This window comes from Homo sapiens, chromosome 14 (genome assembly GCF_000001405.40).
Source record: "Homo sapiens chromosome 14, GRCh38.p14 Primary Assembly".
Lineage (NCBI taxonomy): Eukaryota > Metazoa > Chordata > Mammalia > Primates > Hominidae > Homo > Homo sapiens.
Window position 1 is genome coordinate 99688415 of NC_000014.9, and position 23805 is coordinate 99712219.

The window sequence follows — 23805 nt, forward strand, 5'->3', positions numbered from 1 at the left end:
TCCCTGAGCAAAGGGAGCAGCCGGTGAGAGTTTCCTTCCTGGGCTCCACTGAGCAGCTGCCCACCTCCTGCCCCAGGCCCACGCACACCTTCCAGCTGTTCCGGGAGGGTAGCCCAGGCCAACCTGCCCCCTCTGCTCAGCAACCCTGTCCTAGGAGCACCCCCACCTCCAAATCAGCACTTTTCCTCCTCTTCTGCATCATCCCCATTTTTATATAATATGTAAGAATTCAAAGCTTGGAACAAAACCTTTCCCTTCACCCTCTCGTTCCCTGTAGCTGCCGCCCCCTATGGTAACCCACCTGGCTGACTGCCTGCCTTTGGGCCTCCCTTTTCTCCCCTCTGGTTCTCTCTGCCCCATACCTCTCCACCAAACTTGCTGGGGGCTCGGTTCCCGGTGATCTCCATGTTGTCGCACCCAGCCGTCAGCCCTGGATCCTCGTCTGACCTGGCCCCCAGCAGCCTGGGCAGAGCCGATGCCCCCTCCGCCTTGTCCCGCATCCTCCTCTGGCTTCTCACCCAACTCTCCTGGCTCTCTTCCCTCCTCCCCAGTGCTCCCGCTCAGTCCACTTGGCTGGCTGTCCCTATGCTCCCAACTTCTCAGTGATGGCTTAGTTCTTGGTCCTCTTCTCTGTCTGTATCCATTCCCTTGTGGCCTCATCCAATCACTGGGCTGGAAATACCACTTCTCTGCTGTGGGCTCTCAAATTTATGTCTCTAGCCTACAGCCCTTCCCTGGGCTCCAGATCTGAGTGTCTAACTTCCTGCTCAATAGTCCACCACAAACCTTACCGGTCCCAAGCCAAGCTCCTAATTTCATCTGCTTGTCTGAGATTGGTCCCCCCAAAGCTGATCCTGAGATAAGAAATGAAGTGTAAGTAGTTTAGGAGGTGGGGGATGATCCCAGTTTGAGCAGTGGGAGGAGGAGAGTGGATAAAGAAGGTAAACAAACCAATAAAACAAGTTACCTCTTGGGGAAACAGGTGCAATTCCCTGGGAACCCTGGGGACTTGTGTAGAGCACATGCCCAGAGCTACCCCAGAAGTGGAGGGGCTGAGGTCATTGGTGGAGGGCTGCTCAAAGTGGGTTCATCTCCTGTGGGCAGAGCCAGAGACGGCCCTGGCAAATTGCAGGGGGTGGGCACGGTGGCTCTGCCACCCCAACCAGCTCCTCCTCATCTTGGTAGATGGTCGCTCCATCCATTCTTCCAGCAGCCCAGGCCAAAAACACAGAGTCATCCTCACACCCCCATAGCCAAACGGCACGTTCCAGTATTCCGCCTCACAGAGCATTCAGAATCTGACCTCTTCTTATCATTGCCTCCGCTGCCCTGCTCTGTTCTGAGCCCTCGTCACCTCTCCCAGTCCTTCCCTGTCACTAGTGTCCCTGCTTCCTCCCCTACCCTGGTTACTCTCTGCACTGCTGCAAAACAATCCATTCAAACCCAAGTCAGATCCCATCTCTGCTCTGCTCAAAACCCTCTAGTGGACCCCAGCTCACCAAAGTCAAAGCAAAAATCTGGACCACAGCCCACAAGGCTCTACATGACCTGCCCCCAGTCTTGGTGACCCACCTTGTACTCTGTTTCCCTCAAGTACTCTGCCCGAGCCACACTGGCTTCCTCACTGTCCAAGCACACTCTGACCTCAGGACCTTGGCACCTGCTGTTCCCATTGCTTGGAAGGCTCTTCCCCCGCTTCTTGCAGGTCTCATCTCACAAGCCACCCTCTTAGAGGGACACTGCGTGCCCTGCCTGCATTAACCCATTTATGCCTGAGGTTGCAATTTTTTGAATTTGAAAAATCAGACCTTGGTGTTGACCTTGAGCAGTAGGACATAAATAACTTCCACAAGCTTAGCGTTCCAATAATGGAACACTAGGCATAAATGGGTTTTAAACGGACACCCACACACTCATCCCCAGCCCTTCCTCTTCCCCGTACTCTGTTCTCTTTTTCTCCTATCACCCTCTGACATTGTCTTTACTTGTTTATTTACTCTCCGCCTTTCCCTGGGAGAACGTGATTTTGTTGTCACCCATTGGGGATGCTGCATTGAGCTTGGTAGGAATAAAGTCATACAGGAGACAGGAAGTCATGGGCCCCTTGGAATGAGCTTCAGGATGACACTGCACTGGCTTCTTTACAATTTGGTGAACACAGCAGATTTATATGACCAAACCATCCCTTGCTGAGATGGGCTTTGGGGAGCCCTGGTACCAGCTGTGCAATTGTGGGCAAATGACTTCACCCTTTCATCTCGGCTGTCCTATATAATACGGTTAATAACAGACTGATCAGCCATGTGGGGAGGTTGGAGGGGTGAAGCCTAGCGTGGTGGTGCCCAGCCTGGTCAGTATTGGGGAATATCTGAGGGTGATCCCACACAATATTATTGAGTCCTTTCTATCTGCCAGCCCCCAACTTCTGTGCCAGGGAGACAGGAAAAAAAACTGTTTCTTCTCCAAGGGGGTCTTTGGAGCTGGTCAGACCTGGGTTTGCATCCTGTCTTCATTCTTACTGCCTGGTGTCCCTGAGCCAGTGCTGTAACCTCCCCATGCCTCGGTCCTCCTGTCTGTGAAGTGGGCCTAGTAATAAGATCTTGTGGGGAAGGGAGCGTTCTTTCCTGTTGACTGCTGGTAAGCCTAATGTTTCCTGTTTCTTCTAGTTTCCTTCTAGGACACCTCCCCTGCTTTTGGAAAAAGGATGAGGTTGGTGGCCGTGTGCTCCAAGATGTGTTTTTGGATTGGTGGGTTCTCATTTGTCACTTGTTGCCCTTACTCCAGGTTCCCTTGGGGCAGCTCCCCCAACCCAATCCAGCACACAGACTCCCAGCCTCACCTTCCCCTAGCCCAGGTTACTCCCAGCCCCAGCAGTTCCTCCCCTGAGTGGAGGCAGGTGAGGCTGGCTTGGAAGCCATGCTCTGCCATTCATCCACTGCAGGACCTTAGACCAGCCGTCAGAAGCTCTCTGAGCCTCAGTTTCCTCATCTGTAAACTGGGTGGGGGGGTGTGACCAGGTAACAGTCATTGTTTGGTGTGTCACTTTTTTACATTTTTCAAAGTACTTTCAAAGATGCGAATCATTTGATTCCCAGGACAACCTTTTGGGACAATCAAAGAAGGAGTGTTTCCAACCCTATTCCATGGCTGTGGAAACTGAGGCCTGCTGGGGGACATGACTCGGCAAGTGAGCAACAGGGCAGAGCCTTGCCCCCAGGGCTCCTGGGCCCCAGGACAGCACTCTTTTGGTAGCATGCATTGAGCACCTTCTGGGACGGGAAACATCGGTTTCTCAGCTGGGCGGGGTTGGTGATGGTCATACCTCAGGTGGTTGACAGTTTCCTTCGGGTCACTTTGGTTTCCAGGGCTAAGAAGTATGGACCTGTTGTGCGGGTCAACGTCTTCCACAAAACCTCAGTCATCGTCACGAGTCCTGAGTCGGTTAAGGTAGGAGGAAGAGTGGTTTCCATGAGGGAGTTCCCTGCCTTTCCTTGGGTTGGGGGAGTGAAGCCTGGTCCCAGAGACTTTGGATGAATGTTCCAGAGCCAGGCGCATTTCGGCTGGTTTCCCAAAGATCCAGAAAGGAATGGCATCTTTCCCTCTAAGCACCCACTCCTTGGGGACTCTTGCAAGCATTGCCTTTTGATGTGGGGAGTAGATGGGGACCTTGCTGTCCCCATTTGGGTTGGAAGTTTTGCCCAACTAGTGCACACACGTTTAGTTTGCCTCTCTTTGCCTCAGTTCCTTCATCTGTGAGATGGGAATTATAACTCTATCTCCAGGGCTATGATAAGAATTAAAAATTGATCAGTTTATTTAACAAATAATATGTCAAAACATCCTTAAAGAGTGCTTACTATGTACTTTTCTATGCACTTCACAATTAGTGACGCATTTAATCCTCATAGGAGTAGGGACTCTTATTAGTCCCTTGGCCAACATGGTGAAACCTCATCTCTACTAAAAATACAAAAATTAGCTGGGCATGGTGGCAGGCACCTGTAATACCAGCTACTCGGGAGGCTGAGGCAGGAGAATCACTTGAACCTGGGAGGTGGAGGTTGCAGTGAGCAGAGATCGTGCCATGGCACTCCAGCCTGGGTGACAAGAGTGAAACTCCATCTCAAAAAAAGGGCCAGGCACAGTGGCTCATGCCTGTAATCCCATCACTTTGGGAGGCTGAGGCTGGTGGATCACCTGAGGTCAGGAGTTCGCGACCAGCCTGGCCAACATGGTGAAACCCTATCTCTACTAAAAATACAAAAATTAGCTGGGTGTGGTGGTGGGCGCCTGTAATCCCAGCTACCTGGGGGGCTGAGGCAGGAGAATCGCTTGAACCCGGGAGGCAGAAGTTGCAGTGAGCTGAGATCGTGCCACAGCACTCCAGCCTGGGTGACAGAGTGAGACTCCATCTCCAAAAAAGAAAAAAAAAAAGAAGTGAAATGAGGGAACCAAGGCAGGTGGCATTGTCTGTCCTGTCTGCCATGAAGGTTCCAAGAATGGGTATCTGCTGTGGAGTTGGCAGAACTGGGCTCAACTCCGGGCTCTGCCACCAACTGGCTGTGGGACCTTGGACAAGTTGCTTCATTCTGGGCCTCCATTTCCTCATCTGTGAAATAGAGTTGGTGCCTCTGTTACAGGGTGGTTGTAAGAATAGAACTAAAATAATATAAATGAGCCATCTAGCCCCTGCCTGGCACACAGCAATTGCTCAATAAACAATGATGCATTTTTTTTCTTACCATGGGTGCGCAGCAGATGTGTGGGGCAATTCTCTGCAATGGAGGGTGGCTGTGGTGACTCTGAGAGGGATAAAATACAACTTACAGTCAAGACAAGGAGACAGGTTGAATGAATAACCAGGAATCTCTAGCAGAATGTTAAAAATAATTTTTCATTAAAAGTTTAATTTCAAACATAGACACAATTTAAGACTTGTAAAAGCATGCTACCAAAAACCATGCACAAAGACTTTCGTGATGCTTAATGAGAAAAGAAGTTTAAAGATATATATTGATATAGTGAATTATACTGATTGATTGATATTCAAATGTTAAACCAATCTTGCATTCCTGGTCATGATATATTATCTTTTAATTATTGTTAGATTCAATTTGCTAATATTTTGTTAAGAGTTTTTGTTTCCATATTTATTTGATTCTTGTAATGTCTTTGACTGGTTTTGACATCAGGTTAATACTGACCTCATAGGATAAGTTGGGAAGTGGTAACTTCCTCCTCTATCTTCTGTAAAAGTTTGTATGGGAGTGATGTTATTTCTTCTTTTAATATTTGATATAATTCACCAGTGAAGTCATGTGGGCCTGGAGTTTTATTTGAGGGAAATTTTTATTTTTTTTAAGTTACAAATTTAATTTTGTTTACATTGTATGTTTTAAATTTTAAATTATGATAAAATGCACATAACATAAAATTTACCATTTTTAGGTGTAGAGTTCAGCAGCATTAAAGACATTCACATTGTTGTACATCCATCACCACCATCCATCTCCAGAACTTTTTCATCTTCCCTAACTGAAACTGTGTATCAGTTAAACAATAACTCCCCATTCCCCTCCCCCCAGACCCTGGAAACCACTATTCTACCTTCTGTCTCCGTGAATTGGACTACTTTATGTGCGTCATACATGTGTAATCATATGGCATTTGTCCTTTCGCATCTGACTTATTTCACTTAGCATAATGTTTCCAAAGTGAATTAATCTTGTAGCATGTTTCAGCATTTCCTTCTCTAGTTGACATATGGCATTCAGATTTTCTGTTTTCTTGAGTTTGATAATTCACATATTTCAAGAGATCTGTTCACTTCACATAATTTGCTTAAATTATTGGCATAAAGTTGTTCATGAGATTTTCTTTCTTTTTTTTTTTTTAATGTCTGTAGGATCTGTGATATGTTCCCTCTCTCATTCCTGAGAGTAGTAATTTGGGTTTTCTTTTTTTTTTTTTTTCTTGATCAGTTCACCAAAAGGTTTATCAATTTTATTCATCTTTCCAAATAAGTAGCTTTTAGTTTTATTGGTTTCCTTCATTGTTTGTCTTCTATTTCATTGATTTCTCCTCTTTTTTTTTTTTTCTTTTTGAGATGAAGTCTTGCTCTGTCACCTAGGCTGGAGTGCAGTGGCGTGATCTCAGCTTACTGCAACCTCTGCCTCCCAGGTTCAAGTGATTCTCCTGCCTCAGTCTCCCGACTAGCTGGGATTACAGGCGCCCACCACTGCACGTGGCTAAATTTTTATTTTTTTGGTAGAGACAGGGTTTCACCATGTTGGCCAGGCTGATCTCGAACTCCTGGCCTCAAGTGATTTGCCTGCCTCAGCCTCCCAAAATGCTGGGATTGCAGGCGTGAGCCACCACCCCCAGCCAATTTCTCCTCTTTCTTATTTCCTTTCTGTATTCACTTTGGGTTTAATTTGTTCTTGTTCTGATTTTTAGGATGGAGTTTAAACAATTGATTTTAGACATTTTTTCTGTTCTAATGTAAGCATTTAGAGCTATACATTTCCTTCTAAGCACTGCTTTAGGACAAATTTACCACAAATTTTGATATGTTTTATTTTCATTTGGTTCAAAATATTTTCTAACTTCCCTTGTGATTTATTCTTTGAACCATGGATTATTTGGATGTATGTTATTCAATTTTTAAATATTAGGGGATATTCTAGATATCTTTCTGTTATTGATTTCTAATTTAATTCTGTAAAGTCAGAGAGAATACTCATCATCATGATTTCAGTCCTTTTAAATTAATTGAAATTTGTTTTATGGCCCAGCATATGGTTCATCAAAGTGAATGTTAATGAACCCTTAAAAAGAGTGTATGTTGTGTTATTGTTGAATAAAGTGTTTTAGAAATGTCGATTAGGTCAATTTGGTCAATAGTGTTATTCAAATCTTTTAAATCCTTTCTAATTTTCTGTCTACTTGTTCTAGTGGTTGCAGGGCAAGGAATGTTGAACCCTTCATAATCATAGATTTATCTATTTCTACTTTCAGTTCCATTAGTTTGGCTTCCTGCATTTTGAAGTTCTGTTATCAGGTGTGTACACATTTAGGATGGATTTGTCTTTATGATGAATTGACTCTTTTATCCTTAGAAATGTTCATCTTTATTCTTAATAACATTCTTTACTCCAAGTATATTTTGTCTACTTTAAGCCATTCCAGCTTTATTATTATTATTATTATTATTATTATTATTATTATTATTTTGAGAAGCAGTTTCGCTCTTGTTGCCCAAGCTAGAGTGCAATGGCGCTATCTCGGCTCACTGCAACCTCCACCTCCAGGGTTCAAGTGATTCTCCTGCCTCAGCCTCCCAAGTAGCTGGGACTACAGGTGCCTGCCACCATACCCAGCTAATTTTTGTATTTTTAGTAGAGATGGAGTTTCACCATGTTGGCCAGTCTAGTCTTGAGCTCCTGACCTCAAGTGATCTGCCCACCTCAGCCTTTCAAAGTGCTGGGATTACAGGCGTGAGCCACCATGCCCAGCCTCCATTCCAGCTTTCTTATGCTTAGTGTTGCATGTTATATCTTTTTTCTGTTATATTACTTTTAACCTATCTGCATTTTTATATTTAAAATGGGTTTCTTATAGATAGCACACAGTTGATTCTTGCTGTTTTATACAGTCTGACAATCTCTGCCTTTAATTAGAGTGCTTAGGTTGTTTACATTTACTGTAATTATTGATATGGCTGTGTTTAAATCTACCATGTTACTGTTTGTTTTCTATTTGTCCCATCTGTTTTTTGTTCCCTTTTCCTCCTTTCCTGCCTTCTTTTGGATTAAGTATGTTTTAGTATTCTGTTTCATCTCTACTATTGTCTTATTGATTGATTGATTGATCGATTGAGACAGGATCTCACTCTGTTCCCCAGGTTTCATAGCTCACCACAGCCTCAAACTCCTGGGCTCAAGCAATCCTCCCACCTCAGCCTCCTGAGTAGCTGAGACTACCACCATGCCCAGCTAACCACTATTATCTTATTGGTTCCTTTTCTCTCTTTCTTAGTTGTTTTCTTAGGGTTTATAATTTCATCTTTAACTTATATAAATATATCTTCAAATAATATTATACCACTTCATCTCAGTCTACTGTTAAGATTTTTCTCTTTATCACTGATGTCAGCAATTGATTATGATCTGCCTTGGTATACTTTATTTGCTGTACTTTTCTTTGTTAATTCTATTTGGGATCCTTTGAATTTCTTAGATATGTGGGTTCCATGATCATATTAGTAATACATGTTTTATAGTTCTTGTCTGCTAGTTCTATCATTCCATTATCTGGGCCTGGGTATAGGTCATAATATCCTGCTTTGTGGCATGTCTAATGATTTTTTATTGGATACTGGACATTGTGAATTTTACATTTTTGGGCACTAGGTTTTGTTATATTCCTTTAGAGATTCTTTGACTTCATTCTGAGATGATAAAGTTACTTGCAGATCAGTTTGATCCTTTCCAGGCTTGCTTTAAGGCTTTTATAAGTGGGAGTCTAGAGTAGACTTTTACTTGAGAGCTAGTTTAGCCCTACTGCTAAGGAGTGACCATTCTGGGGCCTCTGCGGAAGGTCTTGTGTCTGAGGTTTGTCTATTCTGGGTAGTGGAAACTTGAATAATTATTGGCCCCGTGTAAGCTCTGAGAATTCTTCAGTCTGTAGTCACCCAGTAATTCTTCTTTCCCCAGAAGTTGTTTTGGCCAGTCTTCTGAAGTTCCACCCTACATTTGCATAGATTGGTATACATCCGAAGACCTAAGGGACCCCATGCAGATGCTGCGTAGGAGCTCTTTCCATGCATAGCTTCTCCCTGGTACTTTGTCCTGCTCTTTCTATGCACAGCTTCTCCCTGGTACTTTGTTCTGCTCTTTCTATGCATAGCTTCTCCCTGGTACTTTGTTCTGCTCTTTCTATGCATAGCTTCTCCCTGGTACTTTGTCCTACTAATTCTGGCCTCCTTTGGTCTGCCTAGCCTCTGATCTCTGTCTATTCAACTTGGCACGTCTGCTGGACTGCATTTAGGTCTTTTCTCTTTGTGCTGCTGTCCTGGAATTGCCTCTGGGTAGAAAGCTCGGTAATCCTAGGTCATAGGTCTCACATTTTTCCCCTCCTTCTCTTGAGGTTCACAATCCTGCACTGCCTGTTGTCCAGTGTCTGAAAGTAGACATTTCATACATTTCCCAGGTTTTCTGGTTGTTTATGGCACAAGGGCAAGTCCTTAGCAGTTTCTCCTTCCCGGGTGGAAGTGTGCCATCGGTGTGTGTGTGACCAGAGGAAGCAGCAAGGCACTGGGGGTTCCCTGTGCATTCCTCACATCCCATAGTTTATGTCACCAGGCCATCACAGGATCCCCAGCCTCTGGGACAGCAGGCCATGGGGGTGCCTGGTTGTGGGGGTCACCTGGTCAGACCCTGACTGAGGCTACTCTGCCTTAATGGTAGGGATCTTCAGTTCAATCTAAGAATGGCTCACTTAGACCTCAGGTGACTCTAGGGTATTTGAGAGGGGCCTGTAGGGTGGGCATTTACTGTCACAGTCTTCCTCTTGGTGGGACAGAACTTGGGTTACAAATGACAGTGTTTGGGTTACATTTGAGGTCCCTGGAATGTGGTTCCTGACACAAAGTCAGGCATTTCTGGGGCTTCTTTTCAGCTGAAAAATCGATATTAAACCCCCAGGAGCTAATCTCAGAGAAGGTAGCAGCACCTGGGTTAACCGATAGTTGAGTCATCCTCTTACTGCTTCCCAGCACCCACAGGATAAAGCAGTAGCCCAGAGGGCAGGCCTCTGGGCTCTGGGTCCTGCAGCACGTTCCCCCTCATGTACCTCTGCCTGAATGTACCAGGGGACCTGTGGTCCCTTGGTCTGGATCATAGCCGTCTCTCCCCTCTCTCCGCAGCAAATTGCCTGGATTCAAATCCTGTGTCTACCATTTACTATGTGTGTAACCTTGGGTCAGTTTTCAACCTCAGTTTCTCCATCTGTATGTAAGATGAGCATAAAAACAACACCCGCAGCCAGGTGTGGTGGCTCACACCTGTAATCTCAGCAACTTGGGTTGACTGGGCATTGAGTGAACCGCAGGGTGCAGCTGTGCACCTGGCATTTATTGAGCACCTGCTATGTGCCGGGCACCATTCTTAGCACTTCTTATGTAGAATTGACACTCTTCACAACAAACTTGCCAGGCAGGAACTCTTATATCCATCTAAGATGAGGAAACTGAGGGGCAGAGGAGGTGAGTAACTCATCCAAGGTCCCAGAGTTAGCATGTGGTGCAGCAGGGATGCTGAGCCCAGATCCAAATTGAAGCTGGCTGACTACACAGCCCACGCTGTTAACCACTGGGCAATCCTGCCTCAAGAGCTGTTGGCTGATGTTACTGTTGTTACCATCCAGCTCTTGGTGAGGTAAGTTGAGCTTTCCTCCGGGGAGTTTCACAATCCTGCACTGCCTGTTGTCCAGTGTCTGAAAGCAGACATTTCATACATTTCCCAGGTTTTCCGGTTGTTTATGGCACAAGGGCAAGTCCTTAGCAGTTTCTCCTTCCCGGGTGGAAGTGTGCCTTCACACTTCCTTGACTGCCCGGCTTGAGTGCATGCTAGCAATATTAAATGTGTGCCAAGTGCCCTTCCTGTGACCCAGAAGCCCTTCCTCTCCCGGAAGGGCTTCTCCCCTTCTCACTCTGGTTTCAGAGCAGCATTTGCCTTTTCCTGTTTTGCTGCTTTGGAAGGTGACATGGTATGGGGTTCCGAGTGTGACATTGGAGTGAGCAAGCCCTCCCCACGCTCTCTGACTGTACGTCCACAGGAAAATCACTTCGCCCCTCTGTGCTGCATTTTCCCCATCCCCACACAGCTGATGTTACTTGAAGATAGGGACGATTGTGTGGGATCATGCATGGGAAGTGGGCACACTGCGGCTGAGACTCAGCCAATGGTGATTATTTGGGGCATGTCTCAGAAGAGCATCTTGCAGCTACTCATGGGTGCATGAGCCTATGTTGGTTTTTTGGGGATATTTAGAAGTTCCTGATGTCAACCAAGTACAACAAGGACTCCAAGATGTACCGTGCGCTCCAGACTGTGTTTGGTGAGAGGTAAGGAGGTATGGTGGAAGGCCTGGGTGGGAGGCCAGGAGAGCCCTGCTGTGAGTGAGGGCCAGTGCGGTCCAGAATGTGGGGTGTAGAATTGAGGCCTGAGGCCCTGGCTGCCAGGCATGTGATGAGTGCCCCGTAAACAGTGGCCCCACTCTTGTCACGAGCAGTTTCCTCCTTCTCCCCCAACCTCCAGATGGCAGGGAATATAGAGGCCACTGAGGTTGGGTAACACGATCATCCTTTTCCTTTTTAAGTTATTTTTAAAATTCCGGTAAAACTGACATAACATTCACCATTTTCCCCACCTTAGAGGGTACAGTCTAGTGGAATTCAGTGCCTTCACAATGTGGCGCAACCGTCGCCACCGCCTAGCTCCAATACCGTTTCCTCATCCCAAAATATGACCCCAAGCCCATCAAGCAGTCGCTCCCCACCCCCCACCCTCTTTCCCGCATCACGTGTGTGTCTCCTACAGACTCTTCGGCCAAGGCTTGGTGTCCGAATGCAACTATGAGCGCTGGCACAAGCAGCGGAGAGTCATAGACCTGGCCTTCAGCCGGAGGTGAGTGTGGCCGGAGGCTCCGTGGCTCCTGCCTGGCCAGAGGCAGTAGGGGCTGCCGAAGTGTAGGTGGGCCTTGGGGAGGGAAGTGTCCACCCAAGGGGGCCTCCCTCAGCTGAAGGGAGAGAGGAAAAAGGGGAAAGACAGGGTGTTAATAGTCAAAAGGGAGAGAGAGAGAGAGACAGGCTGACCAAGTGGGGATGAATGAGGCCCCCACGCAGTTTGGGAACATCAAGGGCTGAGTGCCCACGATGGCCAGAAGCATGGGGGTTCCTGTCCTCCAAGAGCTCCCCACATCAGACCTCATCACTCCTTGTCAGGGCTTCTTCTTTTATTCATTTGAGTTTTTATGTTTTGGTGATATAGTTGTGCTTTGTATAACGATGTTTCGGTCAACGATGGAATGCATATGTGACAGTGGTCCCGTAAGATTATAATGGAGCTGAAAATTGCTATTGCCTAGTGATGCTGTAACCATGGTAATGGCGTAGTGCAATGTGTTACTCACATGTTTGTGGTGGTGCTGGTGTAAACAAACCTGCTGCACTGCCAGTCATGCCAAAGTCTAGCAGATGCAATTATGGACAGTACGTAATATTGATAAATGATAATTGACTATGTTACTGATTTATGTGTTTACTATACTTTTAAACATTCTTTTAGAATGGGTTCCTTCTACTTACAGATTTTTTAAAAGTTTACTATACAACAGCCTCAGGCAGGTCCTTCAGGAGGCATCCAGAAGAAGGCATTATTATCATAGGAGATGACAGCTCCATGCCTGTTATTGCCCCTGAAGACTTTCCAGTGAGGAAAGATGCGGAGGTGGAAGGCAGTGATATTGATGATCCTGACCCTGTGTAGGCCTAGGCTAATGTGTGTGTTTGTGTCTTAGTTTTTCACAACAAAGTTTTAAAAGTAAAAAAGAATTAATAAAAAAGCTTATAGAATAAGGATACAAATAAGATAATATTTTTGTACAATTGAACAGTGTTTGTGTTTTAAGCTAAATGTTATTACAAGAGTCAAAAATATTTAAAAAATGAGAAGTTTATAAAGTAAAAAGTTCTAGTAAGCTAAGGCTAATTTATTATTGAAGAAAGAAAAAAAATTTTTAACTCAGTGTAGCCTGTGTCTGGTTTTTATAAGTCTACATTAGCGTGCAGTAATGTCCTAGGCCTTCACACTCACCACTCACTCACTGACTCACCCAGAGCAACTTCCAGTCCTGCAAGCTCCATTCACAGTAAGTGCCCTATCCAGGTGGACCATTTAAAAAAATCTTTTAGACTGTATTTTTACTGTACCTTTTCTATGTTTAGATATACAAATACCATTGTGTTGCAGTAACCTGTTGCACAGGTGTATAGCCTAGGAGCAATAGTCTAGACCATATGGCCTAGGTGTGTAGTAGGCTATACTGTCTAGGTTTGTGTAAGTATACTCTATGCTGTACACACAATGAAGACATTCCCTAACAACACATTTCTTAGAATGTATCCTTGTCGTTAAGTAACACATGACTGTACTTTACTTTTTAAATAACTATTATGGAGGTATAATTCACATACCATACAGCTCACCCATTTAAAGTGTACGATTCAATGGCGTTGGTATATTCATAGAATTCTATAACCATCAACACAGCACATTTTAGAACATTTTCATCACCCTCAAAAGCAGTCATTCAGCCAGGCGTGGTGGTTCATGCCTGTAATCCCAGCACTTTGGGGGGCCAAGGCAGGCGGATCACCTGAGATCAGGAGTTCATGACCAGCCTAGCCAACATGGAGAAACCATATCTTTACTAAAGATACAAAAATTAGCTGGGTGTGGTGGCGCATACCTGTAATCCCAGCTACGCGGGAGGCTAAGGTAGGATAATCACTTGAACCTGGGAGGCGGAGGTTGAAGTGAGCTGAGATCACTCCACTGCACTCCAGCCTGGGTGACAGAGCGAGACTCCATCTCAAAAAAAAAAAAAAAAAAAAAAGGCAGTCATTCCTCATTTCTTCCCAATTCCCCTACCTGCTGGCAACCACTAATTACCTTCTTTGTCTATGGATTTTTGCATTCTAGACATTTTATATAAATAGAATCATGCAATATGTAGTCCTTTATGCCTGGCTTCTTTCATTAGCATCTTGTTTCTAAGGCTCATCCATGGTGTCATCTATATTAATGCCTCATTCCTTTTTATTGTCAAATAATATTCCATTGTATGGATATACCACATATTGTTTACCCATTCATCAGTTAATGGACTTTTGGGCTGTTTCCACTTTTGGGCTATTATGAAAAATGCTGCTATGAGCATTTTTGTACAAGTGTTTGTATGGACATATGTTTTCATTTCTCCTGGGTATTTACCTAGTGGAATTTTTGAGTCACATGGTAACTCTATTTTAACATTGGAAAGAAGGTAATCTTTGATATAATTTTGAATTTATAGAAAAATTGCCAGAATAGTGTAAGGGACTCTTATATATCTTTTACCCAGATTCACTTATTATTTATTATTTAAATCACCATTTGCTTTATCATTTCTTCTCTTTATGAGTGTATATGTAAATATATTTATCACTGTGTGTATATACATATATTTATATTTTTTATATAGTACATATTTTAAAAAACCATTTAAGAGTTAGAGACATTGTGCTCCCCACCTTTAAATACTTCCATGAACAATGACTACAAACTATAGTTTATCAAAATGAGAAAATTAATAATATTAATCTAATACTGTTATCTAATTCACAGTTCATATTCAAAATTTGTCATTTGTACAGTTGTAGCTGTTTTCTTTGTCTAAAATCTAATCCATGTTCATGTTTTTCATTTAATTCCCCTGTCACTTTAGCCCCCTTTATTCTAGAACAGTTCTCAGCCTTTCTTTGGCTTTCTTTACCTTAACATTTTTGAAGATGACAGGACAGTTTTGTAGATGGTTCTTCAGTTTGAATTTGTCAGCTGTCTCTCTGCACTGTTAGACTCAGGCTATCCCTCTTTGGTGGTAATGCTACAGAGTGATGCTGTGTCCTCTGTGGGGCATTGTATCAGGAGGCACATGCTACTGATTTGTCCCATTGCTGGCCATGTTAAGTTTGCACAGTGGTTGAGGTGGTGCCTACCAGGTTTCTCCACTGTGAAGCAATTCTTGACTATGTAATCTGTGGAGAACTGTATAAACATCCTTGCCAGAACTCTTGCTACAGCCTCCTCATTGGCCTACCCTCCTCCTGTCTCCCTCCTCCAATGTATCCACTCACCATCCTGAAGAGATCTTGCTAAAGCTCAGATCTGACCATGCCACTCCCCTGTTCTGAAGCCTTCAATGGCTTCCTATCATCTGAGAGATGAAGATCAGACCCCATTCACCCTCAGTCTGCCCCTAAACCCCTCCAACCTTTGCATCCCCTCTCCCCAGCCTTTCTGGAAACCACTGTGCTTTTTCTGGCATCTCTGCTGTTCCCACTGCCTCAATGTGAACCTCTGGGGAATTCCTGTTCCTCCTTTGATACCCAGCTAAGATGTCACCTACTGAGGCTGAGTTCATGCCTCCATCAAGGCACCTGTCACACCCAATGTAGTGCTTCCATTCATGTCCACCTCCCTCACTAGACCACGGATCCCTGAAGGCAGAAGACGCACCCTGTCCCTGAGTCCTGCGCCCAGCACCAGGCACCCCACAAGCCCTCCAGGAATGCCCATAGAGTGAATGAATGCGTAAGTGAATCAATGAATTGGAATAGTCTCAGTCTTACTGGAAAGTTGTCAGAAGTGAAAATGGGAAGGAGTAGACTGGAAAGAGACATTTATTTAAGAAATACTTATTGTGCCAAGAGCCAGGGTTGCAAAGGCCAGCCAAGCAAACTTCAGGAAGCTTTGAGGTTATGGGAAACATCAATTCTAACCAGATGATGGCCCACATGATCATGACATAACCATGTCATTGTCTTGAGGAAGCATCTCCAGCACATAGAACCTCATGTTTGAACAGTGCTTTATAGTTTATAAAGTGCTTTCACAGACATTTTTATTTTTTTAACTTTTTATACACACAGCATAAAGTTTGCCATCTTAACCATTTTTAGGTGTGCAGTTCAGTGGTATTAAATTCATTCGCATTATTACGCAACCATCACCAGATATTTTTATTTTTTAATCTCACAATAAGATGTTGTCTTAGAGATGACTGTTCTATAGTAAATGCCAAATTTACAAGGCTTTATGAAAGAAACTTTAGAAGATGCCTGTGTTTATGAAAGTATTATTGAGCCTTGGTGAATCCTAATTCACTAATGAAGAAAAAATAGGAACCACTGATGAGTTTCATCTCCAACCATTACCCACACAGAATATAATTTTGTACTTTTAATAAAACTGTGAGAGTAAATTGCTAGTTTCTACTTTTCCAGATTTTGGTTTTATGGGAAGACCTCAGTCTGAGTCCACCAAGGGAGTCAGGATTTTATTGTTCACCTAACGCTGTAGCCCAGTTTTGTTTCTACAATAGCTGCAAGAGATTCAGTGTTTGTATGATAACCGGCCACATACTATCTGGATAATCAACTTAAATGAGATTTTTTTAAAAAGACAACTACAAATCATCTTGCAAATAAATATATACTTGCCAACCATGTAAGCATTATGAGAAAAAGTCAAGGGTGCTGTGGGAGCATATATTGCACCTACCTGGGGCTCAAGAGTTACTGCCTGAGGAAGCGGCCTTTGAGTGTCCATCTGGAGAAGGGAGACATTCAGGTAGTGATGGTTGTGGGGGATAGAGGGTGAGTGCTCCAGGAGAGGGGATGTGTGTGCACCAGCCCCATGGTGGGCAGGAGCATTGTATTTGGAGGAGCCAAAAGGCCCCTGGAACAGGAAGGCAATGTTATAGGTGGAGGTCAGCGAGAAGCAGACTCCAGCTCTTAAGCTCAGGTGAAGATTTTCATCCCCCTCCTAAGAGCAACAGCATGCTTCAAAGTGTTTTATGTTGCAAAGGGACCAGATGAGAGTGGAGAGCCCCAGGCTCACCTGCTGCCAGGCATGTGCGTCGGCTAGTTGGGCAATGAAAAGCTGGTTACTATTTTAGTTTTTCTTCTCCCATTCTCTCTCTCTTTTTTAGAGACAGGGTCTCACTCTTTCACCCAGACTGGAGTGCAATGGTGTGACCATAGCTTACTCTAACCTTGACCTCCTGGGCTCAAGTGATCCTCCGGCCTCAGCCTTTCAAGTAGCTGGGGCTACAGGAGTGTGCCACCATGCCCAGCTAGTTTTTATTTTTATTTTTTGCAGAGACGGAGTCTTGCTGTGTTGTCCAGGCTGGTCTGGAACTCATGGCCGCAAGCAATCCTCCTGCTCTCGCCTTCCAAAGTATTGGGGTTATAGGCATGAGCCCCTGGCCCTGGCCCCATTTCTCTTTTTAAAAATTTTCTATTTGGAAATAATTTCAAATTTTCAGATACGTTTCAAGAATAAGAATAGGACAAAGAATACCCATGTACTCTTTACTCAGATTAATATTAAAAGATTAACATTTCTAGGTCCGGGTGCAGTGGCTCACACCTGTAATCCCAGCACTTTGGGAGGCCAAGGTGGGTGGATCATGAGGTCAGGAGTTTGAGACCAGCCTGGCCAACATGGTGAAACCCTGTCTCTACTAAAGATACAAAAATTAGCCAGCCATGCTGGCACATGCCTGTAATCCCAGCTACTCGGGAGCCTGAGACAGAAAAATTGCTTGAACCCAGGAGGCAGAGGTTGCAGTGAGCCGAGATTGCACCACTGCATTCCAACCTGCATGACAGAGCAAGACTCTGTCTATGGAAAAATAAATAAATAAAAATAACATTTCTTTTAATTATAAAAGCAGCATTTTCTCTTAGCAAAATTTCAGAAACATGTAATGTACAAAATGGCAGTCTCCTCCTTCCAGCTCCCTTGGGGTTGCCATTTTTGTGAGTTTGGAGTGCATTCTTCCATATCTCTTTCTAAGCTCTGTGCCTGGGAGGGAGCCCTGTGGGTTGGGAGCTCTGGGGTGCGAATGGTATCTGAGGACTCATTTCCACATAGAGTTGGACACCATGATTGCTCAAGGACAGGCAGTGAAGTGGGAAAACAAAATGCTGCAGCTGGTGCCCAGGGCAGGGCAGGTAAGGAGAGCAGGCAACGGGAGTAGAGGGCAGGAGGGGAACCGGGATTGCCCTCTCATGGACTGTAGGAGGCCCAAAGTTTCTACACTGTCACGTCCCTTTGAGGTCAGGGCTGAAGGGCCACAGTGACCAACAGAGTACCTGTGGAACTGTTAGGACAAGAGCAAGGGAACAGCATCCATCCTGAGTGGAGGAGAATGGTGAAACCCCAGGGTGTAGTTCAGTTACTACAACTCCAACCTGCAATCTGGGTCTCAAGGGGAGGCCAGAAAGACTGGGAGGGACCACCCACCTTCACTCTGCACAGTATCCTCTCTGTGGAGAGGGAGGGCACATGGCAGTCCACCATATTGGGCTGGCCAGTGGCCGTTGATGCCTGTGCTGTTTCTCCAGCTCCTTGGTTAGCTTAATGGAAACATTCAACGAGAAGGCTGAGCAGCTGGTGGAGATTCTAGAAGCCAAGGCAGATGGGCAGACCCCAGTGTCCATGCAGGACATGCTGACCTACACCGCCATGGACATCCTGGCCAAGGTGATGGGTGACAGTCGGGCATGGGGGCCAGGAGGGCCACATGGGGTAGAGGGGTCTCTTCTCTCCCTCTTCCCTTCTCTCTTCCCCTCCCTCCTGCTCCTCTAACATACCAGCAATTCCTCTGTGCTTCATATATTCTGTATACATTCTGTCTCCTTCAATATTCAAAGCAACCTAGTGTGAGATTGGGGCTAGTAACTCATTCTTGAGCAAGGGACAGGTGCAGGGCCTGGCCTGTAGCTGGTCAATGGCAGAAGCAAGATTTGATCTCAGGTCTGCCTGACTCTCAGCCCAAAGGCTGCCTTCCCTCTGCACTCCCTATAGGGTATGACTTGGCTCTTCACCCCAGTAGACTCAGCAGTGGGCCCAGTAACCCCAAACCCCACTTTATGTGGGGGCGGGGCAGGTCAGGGAACTGCAGTGTGGGGACAGTGACTGGATTCCTCTTTATCACATTGCTATTCCTTTATCATTTTTGCTATCCATTCACTTCACTGTGAAGCTAGTATAGAATGAACACTTAAGGAAGGTTGCATTTCAGGGGAAATGCATCTTGTCAAGGAAGAAAGCCAAGTTTATTGAGTAGCTACTATGAGCTACTTCATCCTCATAGCATTCCATGGGGATCAAATTATCATGGGTCATTGTAAGCAGCTGATGATATGATGCATATAAACCCTTAGCCCAGAGTCCAGGTGTCTAGCAGAATGATGCCAGGCTTTGCCCTGGATCTGCTGCCCTTCTGTGCCCCAGGGATGACCTTGCCCTTCTCTCTCCCCCAGGCAGCTTTTGGGATGGAGACCAGTATGCTGCTGGGTGCCCAGAAGCCTCTGTCCCAGGCAGTGAAACTTATGTTGGAGGGAATCACTGCGTCCCGCAACACTCTGGCAAAGGTACTGCCTCAGCACCCCCTCTGGTGACCAGCCACCAGAGCTGTTGTCTTCATTTGCTGAAGAACCTCCTTCAGTGATTTTTTTTTTTTTTCCCAGAATGGGTTTTGAGTTCTGGTATGTCTGAAGTGACTTCTGAATCAGGATTTGCATGCATTGCCTAAAGTAAAGGCTTAAAATCAAATTGCCTTAAAGTAAATTAGGAGTTAATCTTTCTCTCATGTGAAATGATCCCCAAAGCAGGCAATGTAGGATGACTATGATGGCTCCATGGTGTCAGATTTTCTGGATCCTTCTGTCTTCCTGTTCCACTGTCTCAGCACATCACCTCATTGTCATAAGATGGCTGCTGCGAAAGGTGCACCCTGCCTGCCACTGCCCGTGCCCACATGGGGCCTGGGAACCAATCTGCCCCACCCGCTGCAGCTACCACCACCTGCACGCACTGTCCAGGGACCAGACATGCCCCACCCACTGCCAGCACCCGTGCGCATCATCTAGGGGCCTGAGGAATGGTCTACCATGAGTGCTGCCACCAGCGCCTGCCACTGAGAGGGCCTGAGGAGAGGCCTGCCCCACTTGCCGACACTGGCCCCCACATGCATCATCCACGGGCCTGAGGAATGGTCTACCATGACTGCTGCCACCAGCGCCTGCCACTGAGAGGGCCTGAGGAGAGGCCTGCCCCACTTGCCGACACTGGCCCCCACATGCATCAGCCAGGGGCCTGAGGAATGGTCTACCATGAGTGCTGCCACCAGCGCCTGCCACTGAGAGGGCCTGAGGAGAGGCCTGCCCCGCTTGCCGACACTGGCCCCCACATGCATCATCCAGGGGCCTGAGGAATGGTCTACCATGACTGCTGCCACTAGCGCCTGCCATTGAGAGGGCCTGAGGAGAGGCCTGCCCCACTTGCCGACACTGGCCCCCACATGCATCATCCACGGGCCTGAGGACAAGCCTGCCCAGCCCACCACCCACTGTTGCCTGCACCCAAGCATGCCATCTGGAGGCCTGGGGATTGGCTTGCCCTGCCTAATGTAGGTAGTGCCTGTGTGCAATATTGGAGGACACCTGAGGATAGGCCCATCCCTCCCGCTACTGCTGGCGCCCACATATGCCATCCAAGGGCCTGAGCACAGGCCCATCCTACCCACTGTTGCCACCAGTGATGCTCAAGGACTGGCCTGCCTGGCATCTCCATCCTCAGCAAAGCCTCAGGATGGCCTCCACTAACAATGACAGTCTAAGCCACTGAGAAACTCAGAGATACCACTGACACTGATTACAGCTGAAGAAATTAAACAGAAACTATGTTACTGTGCCAATCCATAATCAAGCCAAAGCACCCTACCCACCCAACACTATAAATGCCCCTATAGAAAAGTCTTTCCCTATGAAAGCCAATCCATAAAATTGGAAGAAGTAACTATTACACTAGATGCACAAAGGGGCAAAAGAAACATGGAAAAAGCAAGGAAATACTATACCTTCAAAGAAACAATAACTCTCCAGCAACAGATTCCAAAGAAAATAAAATTTATTATATGTCTGAAAAAGAATTCAAAATAATGATATTAAACTCTGAGATACAAGAGAACACAGATAAAAATGCAAAGAAATCAGGAAAACAATTCATCACCTGAATGAGAAATTCAACAGAGAGACAGATAGATGTAAAAGAGAAACAAACAGAAATCTTAAAACTGAGGAATTCAGTGAATAGAATAAAAATATAATTGAAAACTTCAACAATAGACTAGATTAAGCAGAAGAAAGAATTTCTGAACTTGAAGACAGGTCTTTTTTGAAGCAACCCAATCAGACCAAAAAAAGAAAAGATTGAAGAAAGCCTTTGTGACATGAGACAGCAGTAAGTGACCAAATATTCCAGTTCCGGGAATTTCAGGAGAAGAGATGGGCAAAGGCATATGAAACCTATTTAATCAAATAATAGCTGAAAACTTCTCAAGTCTTGCAAAAGATATAGACATCCAGGTACAGGAAATATAGAGATCCAGGTATAGTCATGCTTTGTATAATGATGGGAGCTCAAAAATCTCCGAGTAGATTCAACCCAAAAAGGTCTGCCTTCTCCAAGGCACATTATAGTCAAAGTGTTGAAAGTCAAAGACACAGAGAGAATTTTAAAAACAGCAAGAGAGAAGCATGAATTCACATATAAAGGAATCAGACTAAAGTAGATTGCTCAGTGAAAATCTTACAAGCCAGGAGTGATTGGGATAATATATTCAAAGTGCTGGAAATTAAAAACTGTCAGTCAAGATTATAGTACCCAGTAATGCTATACTTCCAAACTGAAAGAGAAATAAAGTCTGTCCCAAACAAGCAAAAACCGAGGTAAGTCATCACTACTAGACTGGCCCTACAAGAAATGTTTAAGGGAATTCTGCATCTGGAAGTGAAAGGACAATCTCTATCATCATGAAAACACATGAAAGTATAAAGCCCACTGATAGGGCAGATCAGCAAATGAGAAAGAGAAAGGAGTTAAACATTACTATTATAGAATGTTTACCAAACTGCAATGATAAACAGTAAGAGAGGAAGACAGGCACAAAATATATACAGAAAACAATTAATCAAACAACCAGAAAACAATTAACCAAATGACTAGAGTAAGTCCTTACCTATCAATAATAACCTTGAATGTAACTAGATTAAATTCCCCCACTTAAAAGATATAGATTGACTGAATGGATAAAAAAATTACCCAACTATATGCTGCTTACAAGAAACTCACTTCGCCTGTAAAGACACATACAGACTGAAAGTAAAGGAATGGAAAAAGATATTCCACACAAACACAAGCCAAAGCTGTCAGGAGTAGCTATAATTATATCAAATAAAACAGACTTTAAGTCAAAAACTGTAAAAAGAGACAAGGTCATTATATAATGATAAAGGGATCAATTCTGCAAGAAGATAAAATACTTCTAAATATATTTGCACCCAATACCAGAGCACCCAGAGATAGAAAGCAAAGATCTAAAGGAAAAGATAGACTCTAATACAGTAATAGCTGGGGACTTCAACACCCCACTCTCAGCACTGGACAGATCATCTAGACAGAAAATCATCACAGAAACATTGGATTTAACTACACTTTAGACCGTATAGACCTAATAGACATTTACAGAACTTTTCATCTAATAGCTGCAGAACATACATTCTTCTCATCAGCACATGAAAGATTCTCCAGGATAGATCATATCTTAGGCCACAAAACAAATTTTAAGAAATTGAAATCATATCAAGTATCTTCTCAGACCACAATGGAATAAAACTAGAAATCAATAACAAGTGAAACTTTGGAAATTGTACAAATACATGGAAATTAAACAATATACTCCTGAATGACCACTGGGTCAATGAAGAAATTAAGAAGGAAATAAAAAAATTCTTGAAACAAATGAAAAGGGGAACACAACATACCAAAACCTGTGGGATACAGCAAAAGCAGTGCTAAGAGCGATGTTTATAACAGTAAACACTTACATCAAAAAAGTAGGAAGATTTCAAATAAACAGCCAAATGATATATCTCAAGGAATTAGAAAAGCAAGAACAAATCAAAGCCAAAATTAGTAGAAGGAAATAAATATCAGTGCAGAATTAAAGGAACTAAAGACTAAAAAAGTACAAAGACCAATGAAGTGAAAGGTTGATTTTTGGAAAAGATAAAATCAATAAACCAAGCCAAGAAAAAAAAGAAGACCCATATAAATAAAAGCAGAAACTAAAAAGGAGACATTACAACTGATACCACAGAAATACAAAGGAACATTACAGATTTTTATGAACCACTATACACTAACGATTGGAAAACTTAAAAGAAATGGAATTCCTGGACACATACACCCTGCCAAGATGATTGAACAAAGAAGAAATAGAAAACCTGAACAGACCAATGGTGAGTAATGAGATTGAAATACTAATAAAAAGTCTTCCAACAAAGAAAAGCCCGTGACCAGATGTCTTTACTGCTGAATTCTCCCAAACCCATGAAGAAGAACACCAATTCTTCTCAAACTATTCCAAAAAATTGAAGAAGAGGGAACTCTTCCTAACTTATTCTATGAGGCCAGCACTACCCTACCCTGATACCACAAACAGACAAGGACACAATAAAAAAAGAAAAACTACATGCCAACGTCCCTGATGAACATAGATGCAAAAATATTCAACAAAATACTAGCAAACAAACCTAATCCAACAACACATTAAAAAGGTAATTCACCATGATTAAGTGGGATTTATCCCAGGGATGCAAGGGTGCTTCAACATACACAAGTCAATAAATGTTATACATCATATTAACAGGATGAAGGACAAAAGCCATATGATCATCTCAATAGATGCAGAAAAAGCACTTGATAAAATTTAACACCACTTCATGATTAAAAACTCTCAACGAATTATGAATAGAAGGAACGTAGCTCAACATAATGAAGGTCGTATATGATATACCCACAGCTAACATCATACTTAGTGGGGAAAAGCTAAAAGTCTTTCCTTTAAGAA

General features: G+C 44.2%; 1 protein-coding gene across 5 annotated transcripts in view, besides 1 other annotated feature; it reads left to right on the forward strand.

Moving 5' to 3' along the window:
* The window catches only part of CYP46A1 (cytochrome P450 family 46 subfamily A member 1), a 43004-nt gene that overhangs the window by 4117 nt on the left and 15082 nt on the right, over nucleotides 1-23805 (forward strand). For 2 of the 5 annotated variants that reach the window (NM_006668.2, XM_011536364.2), the window contains exons 2-7: nucleotides 2667-2747; nucleotides 3366-3447; nucleotides 11052-11125; nucleotides 11601-11687; nucleotides 18233-18371; nucleotides 19154-19264. In NM_006668.2, the coding sequence (NP_006659.1) occupies nucleotides 2667-2747; nucleotides 3366-3447; nucleotides 11052-11125; nucleotides 11601-11687; nucleotides 18233-18371; nucleotides 19154-19264 (574 nt within the window). Of the gene's footprint in view, nucleotides 1-2666; nucleotides 2748-3365; nucleotides 3448-7017; nucleotides 7061-11051; nucleotides 11126-11600; nucleotides 11688-15306; nucleotides 15414-17071; nucleotides 17840-18232; nucleotides 18372-19153; nucleotides 19265-23805 lie in introns of those variants that run through there. The other 3 variants (XM_017020933.3, XM_005267274.6, XM_011536365.3) reach the window with 3 other exon arrangements.
* Nucleotides 19966-20485: an enhancer, noted in NCBI's record as "H3K4me1 hESC enhancer chr14:100174717-100175236 (GRCh37/hg19 assembly coordinates)". NCBI's record gives its function as "activates a minimal SCP1, AML or CMV promoter by ChIP-STARR-seq in naive H9 embryonic stem cells {active_cell/tissue: H9 hESC(naive)}" and the evidence as "EXISTENCE:reporter gene assay evidence [ECO:0000049][PMID:30033119]".